The 20,692-nt window shown below is 49.3% G+C and overlaps 1 long non-coding RNA gene across 1 annotated transcript in view, besides 4 other annotated features; it reads right to left on the bottom strand.

The window, feature by feature from the left end:
• The window catches only part of LINC01169 (long intergenic non-protein coding RNA 1169), a 103,609-nt gene that overhangs the window by 55,716 nt on the left and 27,201 nt on the right, over positions 1–20,692 (bottom strand). The window lies entirely within an intron of this gene.
• Positions 7,056–7,583: an enhancer, noted in NCBI's record as "NANOG-H3K27ac-H3K4me1 hESC enhancer chr15:66914838-66915365 (GRCh37/hg19 assembly coordinates)". NCBI's record gives its function as "activates a minimal SCP1, AML or CMV promoter by ChIP-STARR-seq in naive H9 embryonic stem cells {active_cell/tissue: H9 hESC(naive)}" and the evidence as "EXISTENCE:reporter gene assay evidence [ECO:0000049][PMID:30033119]".
• Positions 7,584–8,112: an enhancer, noted in NCBI's record as "H3K27ac-H3K4me1 hESC enhancer chr15:66914309-66914837 (GRCh37/hg19 assembly coordinates)". NCBI's record gives its function as "activates a minimal SCP1, AML or CMV promoter by ChIP-STARR-seq in naive H9 embryonic stem cells {active_cell/tissue: H9 hESC(naive)}" and the evidence as "EXISTENCE:reporter gene assay evidence [ECO:0000049][PMID:30033119]".
• Positions 11,820–12,398: an enhancer, noted in NCBI's record as "H3K4me1 hESC enhancer chr15:66910023-66910601 (GRCh37/hg19 assembly coordinates)". NCBI's record gives its function as "activates a minimal SCP1, AML or CMV promoter by ChIP-STARR-seq in naive H9 embryonic stem cells {active_cell/tissue: H9 hESC(naive)}" and the evidence as "EXISTENCE:reporter gene assay evidence [ECO:0000049][PMID:30033119]".
• Positions 12,399–12,977: an enhancer, noted in NCBI's record as "H3K4me1 hESC enhancer chr15:66909444-66910022 (GRCh37/hg19 assembly coordinates)". NCBI's record gives its function as "activates a minimal SCP1, AML or CMV promoter by ChIP-STARR-seq in naive H9 embryonic stem cells {active_cell/tissue: H9 hESC(naive)}" and the evidence as "EXISTENCE:reporter gene assay evidence [ECO:0000049][PMID:30033119]".

The raw sequence follows: 20,692 nt of genomic DNA, 5'->3' as shown, positions 1-20,692 counted from the left end.
GTGCAGCCAGGATTCCAGCTGCTTTGCCCAGGACCCTCAGGGGGCACAGCTGTTCCAGGGCCTTCCATGCTGACCTGAACTGGCTCCTGCAGAGGGAGAGCTGTGCAGGAAGAAGCCCTGAGGCTCCCACATCCCTCTGGGCTGACTGGAGCCTGAGGAAACACCTAGCTTTAGCACTGAGCCTCTGGAGTGTCCCCCACCCCGGAGCAGCTCCACCACCCCCATGCCCCGGTGCTTTGCTGCACAGTTGAGAATACTCTCTGCTGTCAGCACAGGGGACCAGCTCTGAAAGGGAAATTAGGGGAGCAAAAATCATTGTCCTCATTTCACAGGCACAGCTTAGAGAGGATTAGTGACCTAGCTCCTGAAGGCCTAGAGCTCTGGGTAGCTGCCCCTTCACCAAAGAACCCCCTCCTGCTAAAAACAAAGCAAAACTCGCCTGCACACACAGCCTTCTCTCCAACTTGGAGTCATGAACGTCATTCCTGACTCAGCCCCTCCTCATTCTAGCTGTGTATCCTTGGATAGGTTATCTAACTTCTCTGAGTCTCACTTTCCTCATCTGTAAAGTGGGAATAATAATAATAATAGTACCTATCTCATAGACGTGTTGCTGGATTAAATGAATTTATATATATAGTCGTGTGTGTGTGCGCACACACACACACACTATAAACTGCTTAGAACAATCCTGACACACAGCAAATGCTAATTGTTGGCTGTTCCATCTTTCCAGGATGCCCTTCCTCACAACATGGTGAAATCCAACACTCTTTGAGGCTTTCCTGCCCCTCAGACTCACAGAGAGTTGTCACACTCCTCCGGAGGGCTGGGTGGGCCGACAGTGTCATTCATGCAGTCTGTGCTACTGGAGCTTCCCAAGGTGGGGCTCCCTCCTCCTTCCCCTGGGTCTGCTTATCCTGCCATGCAGAGACACCAGTTCAGAATTTACCTGATGGCAATCTACCACATTCAAATACTGGGGAGCTGTCCGCTATCCTAACCCAATCTCCATTCTTGTCCACATCCCCCTCTCCTTGCAATCACAATACACAAACAGCACCTTATACTTCAAGGGAAAAAATACTCTATTGTTTTGTTATTACAAAAGTAAAAATGTCCATTGTAAAAAATCCAAACAATAGAGGTGTGTAAAAGTTAAAATCCCCTTCAGCAAACCCCACTGCTCAGAAGTGACCTCCCGTAGTTGGCTGTGTCCTCTCCCAGCCCTTCTGCATATTTATAAACACAGGCTGTTCTTTTTCACAAAATCTGAAACCCAGGGTACATATTGCCTTGCAACTTCTTCTTTTCCATTCTTGTATTCAAATTTATTTAACTGCATTTTTTTCTCTCAATCTACCATAACAATACATGCTATTGCAACAAGCCAGATGTCACAGGGTAATGGGGACCAAAAAAGGCCATGCCTGTCTTTCCTACCTCCTGGAGATCCACGGAACCATCAAGAAGAGGCTGGCAGGAATCTTTCCTCAGGCAGGGAAGGATGTATATCCCTCATATGCAGTACTCTTTTTTTATTTGTTTGTTTGTTTGTTTGAGACGGACTCTCCCTCTGTTGCCCGGACTGAAGTGCAGAGGCATGATCTCAGCTTACTGCAACCTACATCTCGTAGGTTTCAGCAATTCTCCTGCTTCAGCCTCCTGAGTAGCCGGGATTACAGGCACTCGCCACCATGCCTGGCTAATTTTTGTATTCTTTGTAGCGATGGGGTTTCACCACGTTGGCCAGGCTGGTCTCAAACTCCTGGCCTCAAGTGATCCACCTGCCTCAGCTTCCCAAAGTGCTGGGATTACAGGTGTGAGCCACCACGCCTAGCCAGGTCCAGAACTCTTACAAATTACATAGAAAAAGTCAAATAATTAAAAGATGAGCAAAAACACTTGCTGCTTTCTTTCATTATATATATGCACCTACCTTTCTTTAGGCTCATACAAACATAACCAACATACAGTCATGTGTCATTTAATGACAAGGATATGTTCTGAGAAATGTGTCATTAGACAGTTTTGTCATTGTGCAAACTTCAGAGTGTACTTACACGAACCTAGACAGTAGAGTCTACTACACACCTAGGCTGTGTGGTCTGGCCTACTGCTCCCAGGCTACAAACATGTACAGCATGGTACTGTGCCGAATGCTGTAGGCAACTGTAACACAATGCTAAGTATGTGTGTATCTCAACATAGAAAAGATACAGTAAAAATATGGTATAAAAGATTTAAAGGCCGAGCTCAGTGGCCCATGCCTGTAATTCCAGCACTTTGGGAGGCCAAGGCAGGAGGATCACCTGAGGTCGAGAGTTCGAGACCAGCCTGACCAACATGGAGAAACCCTGTCTCTACTAAAAACACAAAATTAACTGGGCGTGGTGGTGCATGCCTGTAATCCCAGCTACTTGGGAGGCTGAGGCAGGAGAATTGCTTGAACCCAGGAGGCGGAGGTTGCAGTGAGCCGGGATCTAAAATAATATACCTGTACAGGGCCCTTACCACAAATGGAGCTTTCAGGACTGGAAGTTGCTCTGGGTGAGCCAGTGAGTAAGTGGTGAGTGAACGTGAAGACCTAGGACATTACTATACACTGTAGGCTCACTAAGTACTATACCCATAGGCTACATTTATAAAATGTAATTTATGAAAACATATTTTTCTTTCTTCAATAAATTAACCTTAGCTTACTGTATTATCGTAACTCTTACTTCACAAACTTTTTAATTTTTTTAACTTTCTGACTTTTGTAAAACACAAACAACATTGTACAACTGTAAAAAAGTTTTATTTCTTTATATCCTTATACTATAAGCTTTTTTCCGTTTTTAACTTTTTTCCTTTTGAAATTTTTTTGTTAAAAACTAAGACACAGATACACACATTAGCCTAGGCCTACACAGGGTCAGTATCATCAGCATCACTGTCTTCCACCTCCACGTCTTGTCCCACTGGAAGGTCTTCAGGAGTAATAACAGGCATAGAGCTGTCCTCTCCTATGATAACAGTGTCTTTTTCTTTTTTTCTTTTCCTGAGATGGAGTCTTGCTCTGTCGCCAGGCTGGAGTGCAGTGGCGTGATCTCTGCTTACTGCAACCTCCGCCTCCCGGGCTCAAGCAGTTCTCCTGCCTCAATCTTCCCAGTAGCTGGGATTACAGGCGCCTACCACCATGCCCTGCTAATTTTTGTGTTTTTAGTAGAGACGGGGTTTCTGACCTCAAATGATCCACCCGCCTCGGCCTCCCAAAGTGCTGGGATTACAGGCGTGAGCCGTCACGCCCAGCCACAGAGTCTTTTACTAGAACACCTCCTGAAGGACCTGTCTGAGACTGTTTCATTAAAAAACAAATTTAAAAAAAAACCCTTTTTTTATAAGTAGAAAGAGTAACACTAAAATATTGATGTATTAATTATAGTACAATAAATACATAAACCAGTAACATAGTCATTTATTATTATCAAATATTATGTATTATAAGTAATTGTATGTAATATACTTTAAAAAAATTTTTGTTTTTGTGACAGAATCTCACTCGGTTGCCCAGACTAGTGTGCAATGGTGTGATTACGGCTCACTGCAGCCTCGACCTCCTGCCTGAAGTGATCCTCCCACCTCAGCCTCCTGAGTAGCTGGGACAATAGACACACGCCACTACACCCAAATTATTGTATTTTTTATTTTTAATTTGTAGAGACGGGGTCTCCCTGTGTTACCCAGACTGGTCTTGAATTCTTGGGCTCAAGCAATCCTCCAGCCTCAGCCTCCCAAAGTGCTGTGAAACACTTTTATATGACTGGCAGCACAGTAGGTTTGTTTACACCAGTCTGCCATAAATACGTGAGTAATGCATTGCACTACCTTACTATGGCTATGATGTCACTGGGCGATAGGAATTTTTCAGCTCCATTATAATCTTATAGAACCACTCTGTATAAGCAATTTGTCATTGACCAAAATGTCATGGCATAACACATGATTGTATTTACCCTGGTGAAGCCTTGCCTCCCACGTCTTACACACACACACTTTGTTAAAGCACAAAAAGGGATCATACGTTACACACACCTTACCTCACCTGCATAGCTGCCTTTTCTTAACCTAATAGAATATCGCAGACAACCCCACAAGTCACTGCATATAAATTCAATGAGCTCATTCTCAGTAGTTCCAACATATTCCCTCCCTGGAATGGATACAACCAAATTTATCCCCTCATACTGTTAGAGGTAGACACTGAGATTGTCACTATGGACACTGCGGTTAAAAAAAAAGCAGAGGGGGGGCTAGATTTTATGAACAGAGTCTCCAATGTGGGCTTGCTGGGGCAAAGAACATGTCCATTTCTATTTGAATAGTTAGTATTTGGAGAACAATGGCATTTTGCTTATATTTTTAATTTGCATTTCTCCAACAACTGGGGAAGTTGAATGCCTTTCTCATGTTTATGCTTGTATTTGCATTTCCTCTTCTTTGACATGGTTTTGCTTGTTTTTCTATTGTTTAACTTTTCCCAATTATTTTGTAGGGGTTTTGTATATAAAAGATATGAATGCTTTATCTATCTCTATAACAAATATTTTTTTCCCATCTACTATTGTGTCTGGACTTGTTTATGGAGTCTTTCTATTTTTTTTTTTTTTTTTTTTTTGAGACAGATTTTCGCTCTCGTTGCCCAGGCTGAAGTGCAATGGCACGATCTAGGCTCACCGCAATCTCCGCCTCCTGGGTTTAAGTGATTCTCCTGCCTCAGCCTCCCCAACTAGCTGGGATTACAGGCACGTGCCACCATGCCTAGCAAATTTTGTATTTTTAGTAGAGACAAGGTTTCTCCATGTTGGTCAGGCTGGTCTCGAACCCCCAACCTCAGGTGATCCGCCCACCTCGGCCTCCCAAAGTGTTGGGATTACAGGCGTGACCCACCGTGCCCAGCCTCATGGAATCTCTTAACATGTAGGTAAGCCCAGGCTGTTGTGTCTCATGCCTGTAATCCCAACACTTTGGGAGGCTGAGGCAGGCAGATTGCTTGAGCCCAGAAGTTCAAGACCAACCTGGGCAACATGGCGAAACCCATCTCTACAAAAAAAATATATATATATATATATATGCAAAAAATTAGCCAGGCATGGTCGTGCATGCCAGAAGATCAAGGCTGCAGTGAGCCATTATCGCGCCACTGCTCTCCAGGCTGGGCGACAAAGTGAGACCTTGTTTCAAAAACAAAAAACAAACAAAAAAAACCCATGTAGGTAGACATTTAAACATTTTATAATCTATCCATCTTTCCCTATATGGTCCTGCGTTCCTGGTTTGTTTGAGGAGATCCTTCCTACATCCAAGACTATACACTGATACAAGAATTTTACTGAATATTTTTCTTATACTTTTACTGTCTAATTTTATATATTTAGGTCATTTTGCTACTGGAAAGCGGTCCCCATACAGACCCCAAGAGAGGGTTCTTGGATCTTGCACAAGTAAGAATTCGAAGGAAATCCATAGAGTAAAAGTGAAAGCAAGTTTACTAAGAAAGTAAAGGAATAAAAAAATGGCTACTCCGTAGGCAGAGCAGCCCCAAGGGCTGCTGGTTGCCCTTTTTTATGGTTATTTCTTGATGATATGCTAAACAAGGGATGGATTATTCATGAGTGTTCTGGAAAAGGGATGAGCAATTCCCAGAACTGAGGGATCCTCCCCTTTTTAGACAACATAGGGTCACTTCTCGGTGTTGCCATGGTATTTGTAAACTGCCATGGAGGTAGTGGGAGTGTCTTCTAGCACACTAATGTATTATAATTAGTGTATAAGAAGCCATGAGGACGACCAGAGGTCACTCCCATCACCATCTTGGTTTTGGTGGGTTGTGGCCAGCTTCTTTACTGCAAACTGTTTCATCAGTAAAGTCTTTATGACCTGTATCTTACGCTGACCTTCTATCTTACCCCGTGACTTAGAATGCCTAACCTCCTGGGAATGCAGCCCAGTAGGTCTCAGCCTTATTTTACACAGCCCCATATTCAAGATGGAGTCACTCTGGTTCAAACGCCTCTGAAAATTTGTCCAGATGGATGCAACTTGCTTCTTAACTCTTCATGTACTTCCTTCCTCATTAGCTTATATGGATTGTCCCATTCTTTTTCAATATTGCATCATATTCCACTGAAAGTTACCTATTTAACTTGGAGTATTTTGGGATATTGAAGTTGTTTGTAGTTTTTGTTTTGTTTTGTTTTGTTTTTTAGACAAAGTCTCACTCTGTTGCCCAGGCCGGAGTGCAGTGGCGCAATCTCAGCTCACCACAACCTCTGCCTCCCGGGTTCAAGGGATTCTCCTGCCTCAGCCTCCCAAGTAGCTGGGACTACAGGCACGTGTCACCATGCCCGGCTAATTTTTTGTATTTTTAGTAGAGACGAGGTTTCACTATGTTGGCCAGGCTGGTGTAGTTTTAAATACTATTTAATAACACCAACAGATTATTGAGTGTCTCTTACCTACCAGGCACGGACCTAAACACGTTGCACATATCAGCTCATTTAACCCTCACAATACTACCAAGCAGGTTCTATTATCCTTTTTTGTAAGTGAGGAAGTACACCTTGTCAAGATCACACATATGGTGCAGCTAGGATTCTGACCCAGTCCAAGGTGCAAGGACTCAAAAATTCCGAGCTCTTGACCACCATGTATACTTTCTCTGATATTTACAAATGTAACTTGAAATATTCCATACTTTCATTTCTGTAAGGATGGAGACCAGGCAAATAAACATTTGCTAGGCTCCTCTTCTATCCCAGACCCTGTACTAGCTGCCTTTCTGGGTTGTCTCCTGGCATTCTCACCAATGTCCTCTGAGTGCTGGAGCCAGCTACTTTCCAGATAGGGAAACAGAAAATCAGCCATGTTAAGCCCCTCTCCCAGGGTCCATAGGTGGCTGTGCTGGTTTCAAACCCAGTCCCATGCCACTCATGTATTCTAGTTTTTCACTGAAAGATATGCTCACCAACTTTACAAATAACACATTGATGAACCCATACTTTTTTATTTCTTTTGCTGCTGCTGAACTATTTCCTTGGGATGCATTCCCGGAGTGAGATTACTGAGTCAAAGGGCATGAATATTTTATGGCTTTCCATCTATATTGCCAAATTGTTATGACAAAGGGCTGCACCCATGTTCTCTGCCACCAGCACCACGGGGAGTATCATGCCCTACAGATTCAGACACTAAGGTGGGGAAACCGAAGTTCCAAGGCCTGCCACATCTAACACATTAAGTCCCAGCAGGAGCATTTTAGAAAGAGCTGGTGAATAAAGGGCTCTGGCTTCCCTGACAGCCTTGATGCCTGGTGGGTTTCTGGGTTGGGTGCTTTTGTTTTTTGTGTTATTTTGCAGAAGTTTGCCTTTCTTGTGAAATCGTTTAAAATGTGGCTGAAATGGAACGAAGCATAGCTAGGCTTGTCTTTTAAAGAAAGAACAAATCTGAGGAAAACCCTTTTCTGATGTGGCGCCCCTTGGCCAGGGAGGGGGCCGCCCTGGCGCGGGGGCATCTAGGGGGCGTGGGCAGCCCAGGGAGGGGGCATCTTAGGGCGGGGGGCTGCCGGGGGAGGGGGCACCTGGGAGGGGCAGCCCGGGGAGGGCCAGGCGGGGTCGGCCGCGGGCTCGCAGGGGCGGCCGATAAGGCGGGAGCGGCCCGTCGCCACGGCGGCCCTGGCCCGGCGGGAAGGCGGGAAGGCGGGAAGGCGGGAAGGGGCCCGGCCGGGCTAGCGCAGATAACGCCCAGGGCTCGGGCGGCCGAGACTCGGAGACGCCGCGGCCGCGGGAGATAGAGGCGCCCTGGCCCAGCCGGCAGCCCGGGGGCGGCGAGGGCTGAGGGAAGCCCACGGCCGGGAGGGCGCAGGGACCACGCGGGGCTGCCCCGGCGACCCCCGCAGCAGCCGTCTCTTTGGCTGCAGTCCCCTCCTCTGTGAAACGAGGGCCTGGAAGAATCGTCAGTGACCTCCTTCCTCGCACACGGCCTGCGCCCGGACCTCTCGGTCACCCGGTTCCTCTCAGCCAGGCCTCGAGGGGCGCGATGGGGACAAAGCTGCCCTTTCCGCAGACGGGGAGTTGACGCCCTGGGGGGCGAAGGGACTGTCCCTGGCCACCTGGCCGCCAGCATCGGTGGGGACCCGAGTGCAGAACTCCACACTCCACTTCTCTCTCCACTGCCCCACAAAGAGGGGCTTTTCCCCTTCAGCGGCTGACAAGGAAATCTCTAAGACTGGCATTTGCATTCTGCCTTTTCAAATTCTTCAAATTCCCCACATAAAATTCAGTTGGCTGCCAGACAGGGAGGGAGGCGGAGGACTGGGGGAGAGGCCTGACAGGGGCAGCCAGGAGCCGTCCACCGGCCCCAGCTCTCCTCGGAGAAACAGCTCTGGGGTGGGGTTCCGGAAATCCAGGCACACACGGAGGGAGCCCCCTGTGATCACCCCACTGCCAAGACCAGGCATCTCCAACAGGGCGCGGGGCCTGACCTCTCCAGCTCGCATTCAAAGCCTGTCCTGGCACTGTTCTCCTCCTGCACCTGCACGGGGATGAGGGGGCCAGCCCCTCTTCCACTGCACACAGCTTGCCCGCCTCAAGGCCTCATTCACTTTTTGACCTTCTGGACAATTCTAAAGCCGTACTCTTTCTCCCATAGACGCCTTCCCTTCACCCCACCCGTCCCCAAGGACTTCACTCTTTATGGCTCCTTCCAGAAAGGATTTTCCAGGAAGTTTTTCTTTTCATTAAGCTGCTTTGAGAACCGTGTTCTATGTAAGATTTGACTCCTCTGTGATTCAGCTCCCACTGCTTGCATGCCTGCTGTGTGCCAGACCCTTCCTGTCAGCAACCTCAGGAGACAGCCACTATCACACCCATTGTACAGATGAGGCAAACCGAGCTCAGTAACTTGTTCAGGGTCACAAAGCCAGAAATCAGGTAGGCCTAGCTCCAGATTCAGGCAGAATGTGAGTACAAAGCAACTCATCAAGAGACCTTAGTTCCAGGAATCCCGGCGCTGCCTCAGTGTGGCTGCTCTTGGGTAAGTTGCTCCCTCTCTCAGGGCCTCCGTCTACGGGGAGAGAAATGGGGATGAAGACAGTGTCTCCTTCCCAGGGCAGCTGTGGGGTCTGCAGAGAGATGGATGTGGAGCTAGGCCCACAGGCCAGCCCATCCCCCTGGGGGAAATTCTGGGTTATAAGAATGCCCCCTTCTTCTCCAGGTTACCAGCACTGACTCATGGAAACTGAGTTTTCTGTGCCCCCTACACCCCAGGCCTCTCCTAGAAACAATAGCAACCCCCCCATTTCCTTCTGGCACATGGGCAATACCCTCAGCCTCTGGGGTCCTCAGCTTCCCCTCTCTGTGCACATACCCCCTCCCCAGGCTCTCAGGGATCTGCTCCCTCCTTCTCCCCCATTCAGATGTACTCTTAGAAAAGCCACTCCATTCCAGTCGAATATGAATATGAATACATTCAAGTTGCCAGCATGATCTTCTCAAAATATGCATGTTATCAGCCGGAGATTCTGGGCAGTTACTGGTTTGGGGTTATATGCCCCTCCTCCTCCCCAGGCAGAAAGGCTGGTCATGCTCAGCGTATCTGGAATTCAAAATTTTTATATTTTTGTTGGTTTATTCCCCCTGCCCCCACATCCTGAACTGAGGGAGAGGGTTTATATGAGCCCACTAATTAACAGAACAGAAGCCTTTTTATTTCGTAAATAAAAGCATAGATACACTGTATGAACAGAAATGCAGCATGTTCCCTGGAGAGTGTTTAAACTTTTAAAAATATTCCCCCCAGGGTCTGGGCAGGTGAGCCCCGAGGGGCTTTTCCAGGGGGAGACCTTGGTTGGGGGAACTGGTTGTCCCTCAGGGAGGAAGGTTCCTTAGGCTCCGAGCTGGGCCCCCCTGCAGTGTGGCGGTCCAGCTCGCAGTGGCCCCTCTGTGCCCATTCCGGCCCCAGCTGCATAGCCCTTCCCGACATGGGCTTCTTTGCTGGGCCTCCCTGCAGAAGTTAGAGGAAAGCTAATGACAACTGTCCTCAGAGTGAATGCCTCTGGGTTCTGGTGTAGTCAGACGGGGCTGTGAGACCTTGGGCAAGTCCCTGGTCCTGTCTGGACCTCACTTTCCTCCATGTGAGGAATGGAAGGTGCAGGTGGAATCCGCTCTGCCGTCTCCTCCCACCCTGAGGTCCTAGGCTGCTGTTCAGAGGCTGTTCTGGAAGCAGAAGGTGACTCTGTAGGTGGCCAGACTTTGGCCTGCAGGCTTCATGCCTCAAATCACATTTGGATGTTGGCTGCTTTTCATCCTCACAACATCACCAGTCAGCCCCTACCTTTATACCAGTTTCACAGATGGGGAAACTGAGGCCCCGTGTTTGACGTGACACCCAGACCCCATGAAGAAAGCCAGGCAGAAGTGATTCTCCTCTTTCTGTAAATGTGGAAACTCAGGTCCTAAGGATTCTGGCAACTCTGTGACTGGCCCCAGAGGCGAGGCCAGAATCTCACCAGGGACCTTGCTCGACCAGGGTAACAACCCCTGGGAAGCGCAAAGTGCGGGCCTCGAAACGGGTGCAGGTTGCTGCGCCTCCGGGGCTGGGTTTCCCTGGCTGTGACCCGAGGCTAAAGGGATGGTGGTGTGGATACACTCAGAGGTGAGCCACAGCCCTGAAAAACTGTGACTCTGCTTCCTTGAGTCCAGTGGCCGGCGTGGGGCCATCTGGTGGCCGAGCCCCATCACTACAGGAGCTCCCAAGGCCAGGAGGCCCAGAGTTTTCTGGTCAGATTTCCTGGAGTTTCCAGAAACAATCTGCAAGTTTTGAACCCGGATCCTGTGGCAGCCAGAATAATTCATAAGAAGCTGGGTTTGGCTGCTGGAGCAACTTCTACTCCAGCGCTGATGCAAGAAGAGCTCCTTTCTGTCCAGTCTCTAGGGGTCTCAAGTGCTGAGCTGCTGTGAAGGCAGCTCGCGTCCCACCCCAGAGATCCCTCTGCCCACACAGTGATGGGGAGACTGAGGCCTTAGGAAGGCCAGCCCTCAACAGAGATCACACAACAAACAGGGAAGAGGACAGGCCCCAGGTGTGTGCAGCAAAGCCTGGCATCTCAGCTCACCTGCTGTGGGACCCTGTGCAAATTACACACCGTCTCTGAGCCTCAGTTTCTTTATTAGAAAAGGAGGACCGTTGTGAAGATCAAATAACAATGTGTGCATGTTGCCTTGGACATGATAATGAGCTGTACTTATCATTAGGATTACAGCAAATGCTTTTCATTGTTACTTCTCTCATGCTCACCATGGTGAGGGACCTTCTTAGTACCATTTCACAGACGGGACACGCAGAGGACTTAGCTTGAATAGCATGCCCTGGAATACATTCAGTAAATGGTCACTCAGAAATGCAAACACTAGCTGTTTCAGGAGGTGCACACTGAAGGGCCATAGAGGTCCGATGCCGGAGGCCCACTTTCAGATGGTTCAGAGAAAATAACAAGGAGGCCAGGCGCAGTGGCTCATGCCTATAATCCCAGCACTATGGGAGGCCGAGGCAGGTGAATCACCTGAGGTCAGGAGTTCAAGACCAGCCTGGGCAACATGGTGAAACCCCATCTCTACTAAAAATACAAAAAATTAGCCAGGCAGGGTGGCGCGTGCCTGTAATCCCAGGTACTTGGGAGGCTGAGGCAGGAGAATCGCTTGAACCTGGGAGGCAGAGGTTGCAGTGAGCCGAGATTGTGCCACTGCACTCCAGCCTGGGCGACAAGAGTGAAAATCCATCTCAAAAATAAATAAATAAATAAAATAAAAATAAAGAGGAGAGAAAATGAAGCGTAATTGAACAAAACGTCAACAATGGATGATTCTGGCTACAGGGTATATGCAAAGTCTCTATTCTATTATTTTGAAATTATATCAAAAGTGTTTTAAAGCCCAGCCATTTCCAAATTCTACCTAGTTTCCTCTACCACACTCCTGGTGAGCCAGTGGAAATCCAGGCCTCTGAGAGTTCTTTGCTCTAGACTGGTGGCCCAGCCCCCGTGACAGTTGGCAACCGCCCTGCAATCCCCCATGGAAAGCCAGAGGTGCTCCTGCCCTGCAGCCAGCGTCACCTGGGTCCCCCATGGCTCCTCAGGGCCTCTCCTCAGTCTTCCCATTTCCTAGTCCCCTACCACACCCCTGCCCAGGTCCCGGCCAGGCTGTGGTGAGAGGCTGAGGTGGGGTTTATTTATAAGTTCCCGCTGACTATGAATCACTGGAGGAACTGCTCACAGACTGGAGACAAAAGTCTGGGGCCGCCTGGCCAGGAGGAAACACTCTTTAGATTCGACTTTCCCCTTGGCACAAGCCTCCCCACGCCTGGCCTAGCTGGGCTTTGCCAGCCCCTTCTGTTCTCAGAGGCAGAAGCTCATTTGCCGCCAAGTTCTGTCGGCCTGTCCGCCTTGCTGTGTAAACAGGACCTGGGGCTGGCGGCCCAGGCCCCACACTGGAAATGAGCCTGCCTTCCGCAGCCCGGCCACTTCCTCTTCACATCCGGAGACTCCTCAAAGTTTGAATGAGGGCTGGGTGGGCAGGAGGGGAGAAGCTAGGGCCTTGCCCTGCTGTGGCCTTCATCAATCCTGGTGGAGGATTAGTGGACAAATGGAAGGAGCAGAGGACTCCTAAGCAGCCATCAAAGCCCAGTATAAATGACCCCTCCTCTGGGACACCATCCCACTGCTCTGGGTCTGCTCCCTACTGTAGTTCATAGTTTGGTTACATTCAGTAAACATGTACTGAGCACCCACTGCATACCAGGCTCTGTGCAAAGTGACTGTGAAGCAGGGGGGCATGAAGGTAGATATCTTATTCATATTACCTAATTAATTTTTTTCATTCAACTATGAGCTTCTTAAGGGCAGAATTAATGTCTGATTCCAGATCTACCTGATCATACAAAGTGCCTAGTATGGTGACTGCATGTAGCAGAAGCTCAAAAAGTTTATGTTGCATTGACCTGGTTACACTAGGGCAGCCCAGCTTCCAATCCATTTCCCTTTCTGGGGCTCTGTGGCCAATCTAATTTGGCACCCTGTGGCCTAAGTCATGTCCTCTCTTGAAACAACATGGTTTCCCTCTATGAATATCTCAACCCAGGTTTCCATCTGAGTAACTAACAATGTAGGTAATTCGATTTTAGGAACTACTAGAACCCCTCCCCCAACTTCACCCTGCAACATCTTCCCCACTGCTCCGAGATGTCTCCAGCATTGAGGCATTCCTCTGGCCACACATTGCCCTCTCCACAGAATCATCCATCTGATCACGAAATCTCCTTTCTGGTGGGAAGTAACCCAGCTGAACGAAGGGAGTTCAGTCTGAGGGGATGGCATTATACGCCCATTTTACAAATGAGAAAACTGGCTCAAAGAAGTGACTCACAGGCCAGGCGCGGTGGCTCACACCTGTAATCCCAGCACTTTGGGAGGCCGAGGCATGTGGATCACAAGATCAGGAGTTCAAGACCAGCCTGGCCAACATGGTGAAACCCTGTCTCTACTAAAAATACAAAAATTAGCCCGGCATGGTGGCAGGCACCTGTAGTCCTAGTTACTCAGGAAGCAGAGATTTGCTTGAATCTGGGAGGTGGAGGTTGCAGTGAGCCGAGATCGTGCCACTGCACTCCAGCCTGGGCAACAGAGCGAGACTCTGTCTCAGAAAGAATAAAAAAAAGAAGTGGCTCACTTGATCAGGACCACACAGTTGGCACAAGGGAGAGTCCAGTTTGGAGCTCAGCTCTCTGTAGTTGATGTCCAGGATTTTCACATGTAGCAAAATTGCCTCCCCTTATCTGATGCCATCTTTAAGCAGAAGGAAAAGAGAGAAAGCTATGCTTCCTGGGGGAAGGCAGAATGGAAGTCAAACCCAGAAGCTTGTAGTACCAGCTGTTCCAGGCCATGCTCAGTGTAATTTTCCCATCACTTTGTTGTTGTTATTCCCATTTAACAGAAGCCAAGACTGAGGCCTCGAGAGATTGCAATGCCTCACAGAGCTGGTGATGGCAGCCAAGACCCTCACCAGGCCCCCAGCTGTATCTGGACAGTCTTGGATTTGGGGTCCCTAGGTTTGATGCAGGAGTTCCATGGAAAAGCCAGACTGATAGCCAGGGACACCTGGGCAGAATGGTAGAAGCCCCAAGACTGTCATCCCAGGCTCAGCCAGGCAGAATGCCTGTGTGAGTGTTCACACGTACACGTGCTCACATGCATACATGTACACACCAGAAATGCAGTGGAGCTGCCCTTGGGGAACAAATGCCTTGCTTTCAACAGAGTGTCTTCAGAGAAGTTTTAAAATCCCAGTCTCCGAAAGAGAATCACTCTCTGGATAAATAACTACCTGTCGGACAGAAATGAGCAGAACCCATGGGGCTGGAAGACTCCGGCTCCAGCATCTGGGAGAGCTGTTTGGCTGCTCTCAGGGGAGGCTATGGAGGCCTTCCATCATCTGCCTGTCCATCCAGGGGGTGCCACTGTGCCGACCATCGAGGGCTGGACAGGGGAGAGGCATGGCATCTGCAGCCAGAAAGACAGATGTGATGCAGGAGTCTCTTGTAAAGGAGGGGCAGGAGAGGGACAAACATCTGAAGGGCTTTTTTAATCCAGTAGTTTATATTTTATCTGCCTCAAGCCTTTTGCAAAAGCTCTGTACAGCTGAAAAGTCCTTCTCGTTTTCTCTAATAGGAACCTGCCCCCTCCTCTGCCTGGCTCCGGAAGCCTCCCCTAGAGGAACTGGGGTTACCAACAGAGGCTTAACTCTCACCCATTTACTAGCCTGGGGGCCTTAGGTAAATCTGTCCAATAATCAGTGTCCTTATCTGCTCCTCTATAAAATGGGGATAATATTAGCAATTGACAGAGCTGTGTCGGGGGTGAAATAAGACATGAGCTATCTTAATAAGGGGAAGTGTAAGTAAAGAGATGATCATTGTGGTGGCCTACACTGGTCTCATTGCTTCACACAGGATGGCTCTTCTTTATCCCCAATATTCTAAAGTATTGAGAGAGGAGAGGAAGGGTGAGAGGGGATGCTACTTCCTGTTATTCATCTGTACCTTCCTCCCCTCTCATTCCTCCCCATCTGTCCCTGCTCATTAAGCCTAGTAAAATGGTGTGCAGTCTATCAGTTCTTGCAATAACCTAAAGTGATTAGGCGTAGGGGCAGGGGAGGGGACTCAGTGACTCCTCCAGGTCCTCTCTAGCCAGAGAATTCTGGAGATAAAATTCCCTGAAAGAGTTCTCCTGAAGCTTCTTGCTTCAGCCAGTGGGCAGGGACTTTTACATCACTGTCCCACTTAACCTTCATAGCCCTCCTCTGAACTATCTCCATGTGCCCCATTTTACAGATGAGAAAAATGAGGCTCAGAGGAGCTAGGTAACCCTCCCCAAACCACTAGACTAGGACGCGGTTTTAAGCCAAGGATTCAAATCAAGATCAGAGGCTCACTTGTACTAGCTTCAAGTTCTGAGTTGTACAAGTTCTGAAGTCTTGGTGTCCAGGAAAGACCTGGGTCTGAATCCTGGCGCAGACTCTTATGAACTGTGTGACGTGGCACCAGCTCCCCTGAGACTCATGTGTACATCTCTGTAAGTGAGGAGGAGACACTCCACTGGTTGTTGGGAAACTTCATGAGACAACAGATGGAGACCCCCAATGTAGCACTTGTCATGAGTGGGCCCAAATCAATGTTTGTAGGCCATCCCCACCCCTGGGGTGTTCCCATTCTAGGGACTGTTCTTCGTCAGTGATGACCTCAGTGTCCCAACCAAAGCAGCAGGCAAGGAGATTTGCACCAGCTCCAGGTGCAGGGAGCTGGCTGGAAAATGTAGACCCATTAGCCACTGAGCCCCAAAGTTTGTCCCTGAATGCTAGTGCCTGGTGCAGTACCCACACAAAGTGGGTGCTTGGTAAACATTGTTGAATGAATGGATGTTGGTTGGATGCAAAGAGGTTGCTGTTCTAGGGGACAATGGGATGGTCTACATGGAATGAGGGGCTATCCTGGAATGGCTGAGGGGTGAGTTCACTGGGCCTGTATGCACCGCCTACCGGAAGCACACTAGCTCAAGTGCTTCCGGCAGACATTTCCTGGCTGACAACAGTTTTCTGCCTCCTCTTCTCCCTCCTCCTCCTCCACTCAGACCCCCAGGCCCAGAACCCTGGGCTGGCTTCTCTCCCTGCCTCAGGTCCCACCCTGGGATTAGAGTGCCTGTGGATCAGCCTGGGAATTCTCACCTCCCCAGGACCCAGGACCATCTTGTCCACAGCACAGTCAGAGGAGACAAAGCTGCTGTTCTCTCCAAAGTCTACCTCCTCTCTTAAGGGTCCCTGGAACCCCACCGGGGCTCTCCACAATTTGACCCCTTTCCCATCAGTCTGGCTCGGCCTAAGCCTGGCCCCGAGGTCAGACCAACCCCACTTGGAAAAGGATGAAGTCTCATTCCTCAGTGGACCATGCTCTGGCACGTCAAGGGCTGCCAGAACACCATCACGGACCCTTGGTCACCCATAAGACATGGGGATCACATTGTACAAAAGATACACACCTGCTCCAGAGACAGAGCACTCCCAGCAGCCCCTGTGTGACCAATGGGGATTGCGGGGGACTGAGGTTCAGAGTGGTTAAAGCATTTTTCCCTCCCAGAAGTCTAGACTGTGGCTCCTGTTTTAGCCACAGTCTTTAGGCAAAACCCTCTCTGGGTCTCTTTCTCTCTCAAACATGAACAGCAAAGGCTAGACCAGCCTTCTGCCCCTTCCAGCCTTCTGTCTAGAGGTACATCTTCCTCCCCCAACAAACCCACCCCATACACCTACTTGTGCAACTGCCTGCAGCCCCCCAACCCTTCTCTCCTGTGCTTTTTCTGCTTTGGTGACAGATACTTGAGTTTTAGCTCAGGAGTATTAATAATCTCTCACATTAACCAGGACTGCATTAAAAACCACACACAATATTTCTTATTTCATTCCCTACAACTATTTTAGAGATGAGGAAAGTGATGCCCAGAGTGGATACTTGCCTTGCCCCCATAGCTAGCCAGTGGCAGAGCTGGGATTTGAACCCATGCCTTGGCAGGACTGTGTCTGACTCCCTTTTCCCTGCTTCCTTGGCATGGGCACAGGGGCAGGCACAAATCAGATGCCCAATAAGCCTTTGTGGGCATGAGTTAGCCCTTCTGAGGTCTGATGAGGCCTTTTTTAATTATTTTTTGTTTGTTTGTTTGAGATGAAGTCTCGCTCTGTGGCCCAAGCTGGAGTGCAGTGGTGCGATCTCAGCTCACTGCAACCTCCACCTCCCAGGTTCAAGCAATTCTCCTGCCTCAGTCTCTCAAGTAGCTGAGACTACAGGCATGCGCCACCATGCCCAGCTAACTTTTTTGTATTTTTAGTAGACACAGGGTTTCACCATATTGGCCAGATTGGTCTCAAACTCCTGACCTCCTGATCCGCCTGCCTCAGCCTCCCAAAGTGCTGGGATTACAGGCCTGAGCCACTGCGCCTAGCCTTTTTTTTGATTTGAGATGGAGTTTTTGCTCTGTTGCCCAGGCTGGAGTGTGATGGCACAATCTCAGCTCACTGCAACCTCCACCTCCTGGGTTCAAGCAATTCTCCTGCCGCAGCCTCCCAAGTAGCTGGGATTACAGACACCCCCACCACATCCAGCTAATTTTTGTATTTTTAGTAGAGACGGGGTTTCACCATCTTGGCCAGGCTGGTCTCAAACTCCTGACTTCAGGTGATCCACCTGCCTCAGTCTCCCAAAGTGCTGGGATTACAGGCATGAGCCACCACACTTGGCCTGATGAGGCCATTTAAATGGAGGTCTTCTGAGCCCGGGCATAGTGGCTCACCCCTGTAATCCCAGCACTTTGGGAGGCCAAGGCAGGTGGATCATTTGAGGTCAGGAGTTCCAGACCAGCCTGGCCAACATGGTAAAACCCCATCTCTACTAAAAATACAAAATTAGCTGGGCATGGTGGTGGGTGCCTGTAATCCTAGCTACTCAGGAGGCTGAGGCAGGAGAATTGCTTGAACCCGGGAGGCAAAGGCTGCAGTGAGCCAAGATCGCACCACTGCATTCCAGCCTGGGCAACAGAGCAAGTCCCTGTGAAATGAATGAATGAATGAATGAATGAATGAATGACTTCTGGAGACAAAGCCTTTCCCAGGGAATGGGTTGGACCTTCAGACCCACAGCAGGACCAAATCAGAAAGGGCCTCTGCCTTCCTGTACACTCTGGTGGTCACCAGAGTTGGGGACCTCAGTTTCCCCAACTATAAAATGAGAATAACAATCACACCCATGCCTTAGGGATGGCCTGAGCCCCACTGAGGCCAAGGTGCTCTCCCTCCACTGGCCCAAAGCAGCAGGGCCCTGCCAGGCTCTGGAAGCTAAGAGTAGGCGCTGCCCTGAGCCACTGAGACAGGCTGGGAGCCCCCACCCCCACCTGCGTAGCTTCAGCACACATGGGGACTCGTGCTCACGTCACAGCCACACCTCTCGCTCTGCCTGCCAACCCAAACCTGGCTGGCTGAAGGGGCTGCAGCCAAGAAAAAAGCTGGCCTGTGGGGATATTTGCTCTCCAGGGCTCAGCGATTGTGGAGTAATGACTACAGTGGCCGGCAGAGTCAAAGGGGACTCTGTTCTCTGAAGCCAGGTCTCCCACAGCTGGCTACCCACAGCCTGAACTCAGGCCGACAGAGCCGCGGCTCTGGGCCTGGCACCAGCCACCAAGCCTCACACTCTCGACCTCATTTAATCCTTATGACAACTCTGCCAAGGTGGTTCTACCATGTGATTCAACAGACAAGTAAACTGAGGTGCAGGGAGACAAGATGACTAATCTAAGGTCCTGCAACTAGTGAGGGGCAGGCCAGGTCTGTCTGACGCCACTAACCATGGCACCAAGACCTGACCATAACCCATTTCATGGGAAGCCCCCAACAAGGCTGCATTGGATAGATTTGAGCACCTACTATGTGCCAGGCTAGCTACTTTGCTTGAATATTGTTTAACCTTAAACTGAAAAACCTGGCCGGGCACAGTGGTTCTCTCTTGTAATCCCAGCACTCTGGGAGGCCGAGGCAGGCGGATCACTTGAGGTCAGGAGTTTGAGACCAGCCTGGCCAACATGGTGAAACCCCGTTTCTATTAAAAATACAAAAAAATTACCTGGGCATGGTGGTGCCCGCCTGTAATACCAGCTGCTTGGGAGGCGGAGGCAGGAGAATCACTTGAACCCGGGAGGCAGAGGTTGCAGTGAGCCAAGATCGCACCACTGCACTCCAGCCTGGGCAACAGAGTGAGACTCCATCTTAAAAAAAAAAAAAGAAAGAAAAGAAAAACCTAGAGAAAGAGGCATCACTAGCCACCTCATACAGATGAGAAAACTGAGGTTCACTCAAGATCCATTTCAATTGTCAACAGACCCAGGTACTGTTTAATAGCTGACACAGACCCCTTCACCCCTTCCTTCCTTCCATGTTAGAAAGAAAGCAGACGCCTACTACCCTTTTGACTCGCAAATATTATCCCTGTGTGTCTAACCTGTCCTGCAAAGTACAGCTGAGTCAGGGCTACTCAACCTTTTTGGAGTTTGGGATGGGATAACCTGGTCCTGTCCCTTTTTCGTTGGCAAGATCATAAGTATTCAGCTCAATGAATTCTCAAAAAGTGAATACAACGGTGTAACCTCTGCTTCAAAGGTGCTGCTTTTGAAAATGAATGTGTTCCCCTGAGCAGCACAGAGGCACTTGGGGAAGCCAGACTGGGGGATCAGGCTGGGCTGCTCTGCCTGGGAAAGAGGTCCCTGGGCATCACTGTCCTGCCAGATTTGGGCACCCGAATGAGTCTTGTCAACAAGATTGATTCACAGGGCTCTTGCTGAACTGCTGACATGTAGGTCGAGGAGGACTGGGGTGGGGCCTGAGGGTCTGCATATCTAAGGAGCTCCCAGTGATGCCGATGTGGCCACCCTGGCTTCTCAGAGTGTGGTCCCGAGCATGCAGCATCAGCCTCACCTGCAGCTTGCTGGAAATGCAGAATCTCAGGCTGCACTCCGGACATAGCAAGCATCAGAATAGCTGGGAGCATTAAAAGTGATTGAGGCCTCATCCCCAGAGCTCCTAATTTAATTGTCCCAGAGTATGGCCGGAGCATCAGCATTCTTGACTGCTCCTTGACCTCCGATGCACAGCGAAGGTTGGGAAGTTCTGCTATGGCATCGCGAGTCTGCAGTGCTGGAAAGGACTGACTTTTCACTATTTTACCTCCTCCTTTTATAGAGGAAGAGAAATAGGTCTGAGGTCACATCATGTAGGAATAAACTCATCAAACTTTTTTTTAAGGAATATATAAAATTTATTTTCTTGCACATTCATAAAATACATTTACAAAGCTACACAAGAATCTAATAACACAGGTAGCCTGTGGGGAAGTGAACTGGGTGGCTGAGTGAGTGACAGGGTGGCATAGAGTATTTTCACAATTTTTATTGTAAACTATGAGAGGGAATTATTATTTATTTTTATTATTGTTACCTTTAAAAAATAGAGACAGGAATCTCACTATATTGCCCAGGCTGGTCTCAAACTCCTGGGCTCAAGTGATCTCCCTG

This window comes from Homo sapiens, chromosome 15, assembly GCF_000001405.40.
Source record: "Homo sapiens chromosome 15, GRCh38.p14 Primary Assembly".
Classification (NCBI taxonomy): domain Eukaryota; kingdom Metazoa; phylum Chordata; class Mammalia; order Primates; family Hominidae; genus Homo; species Homo sapiens.
This window is presented reverse-complemented; position numbering and strand designations above follow the sequence as displayed.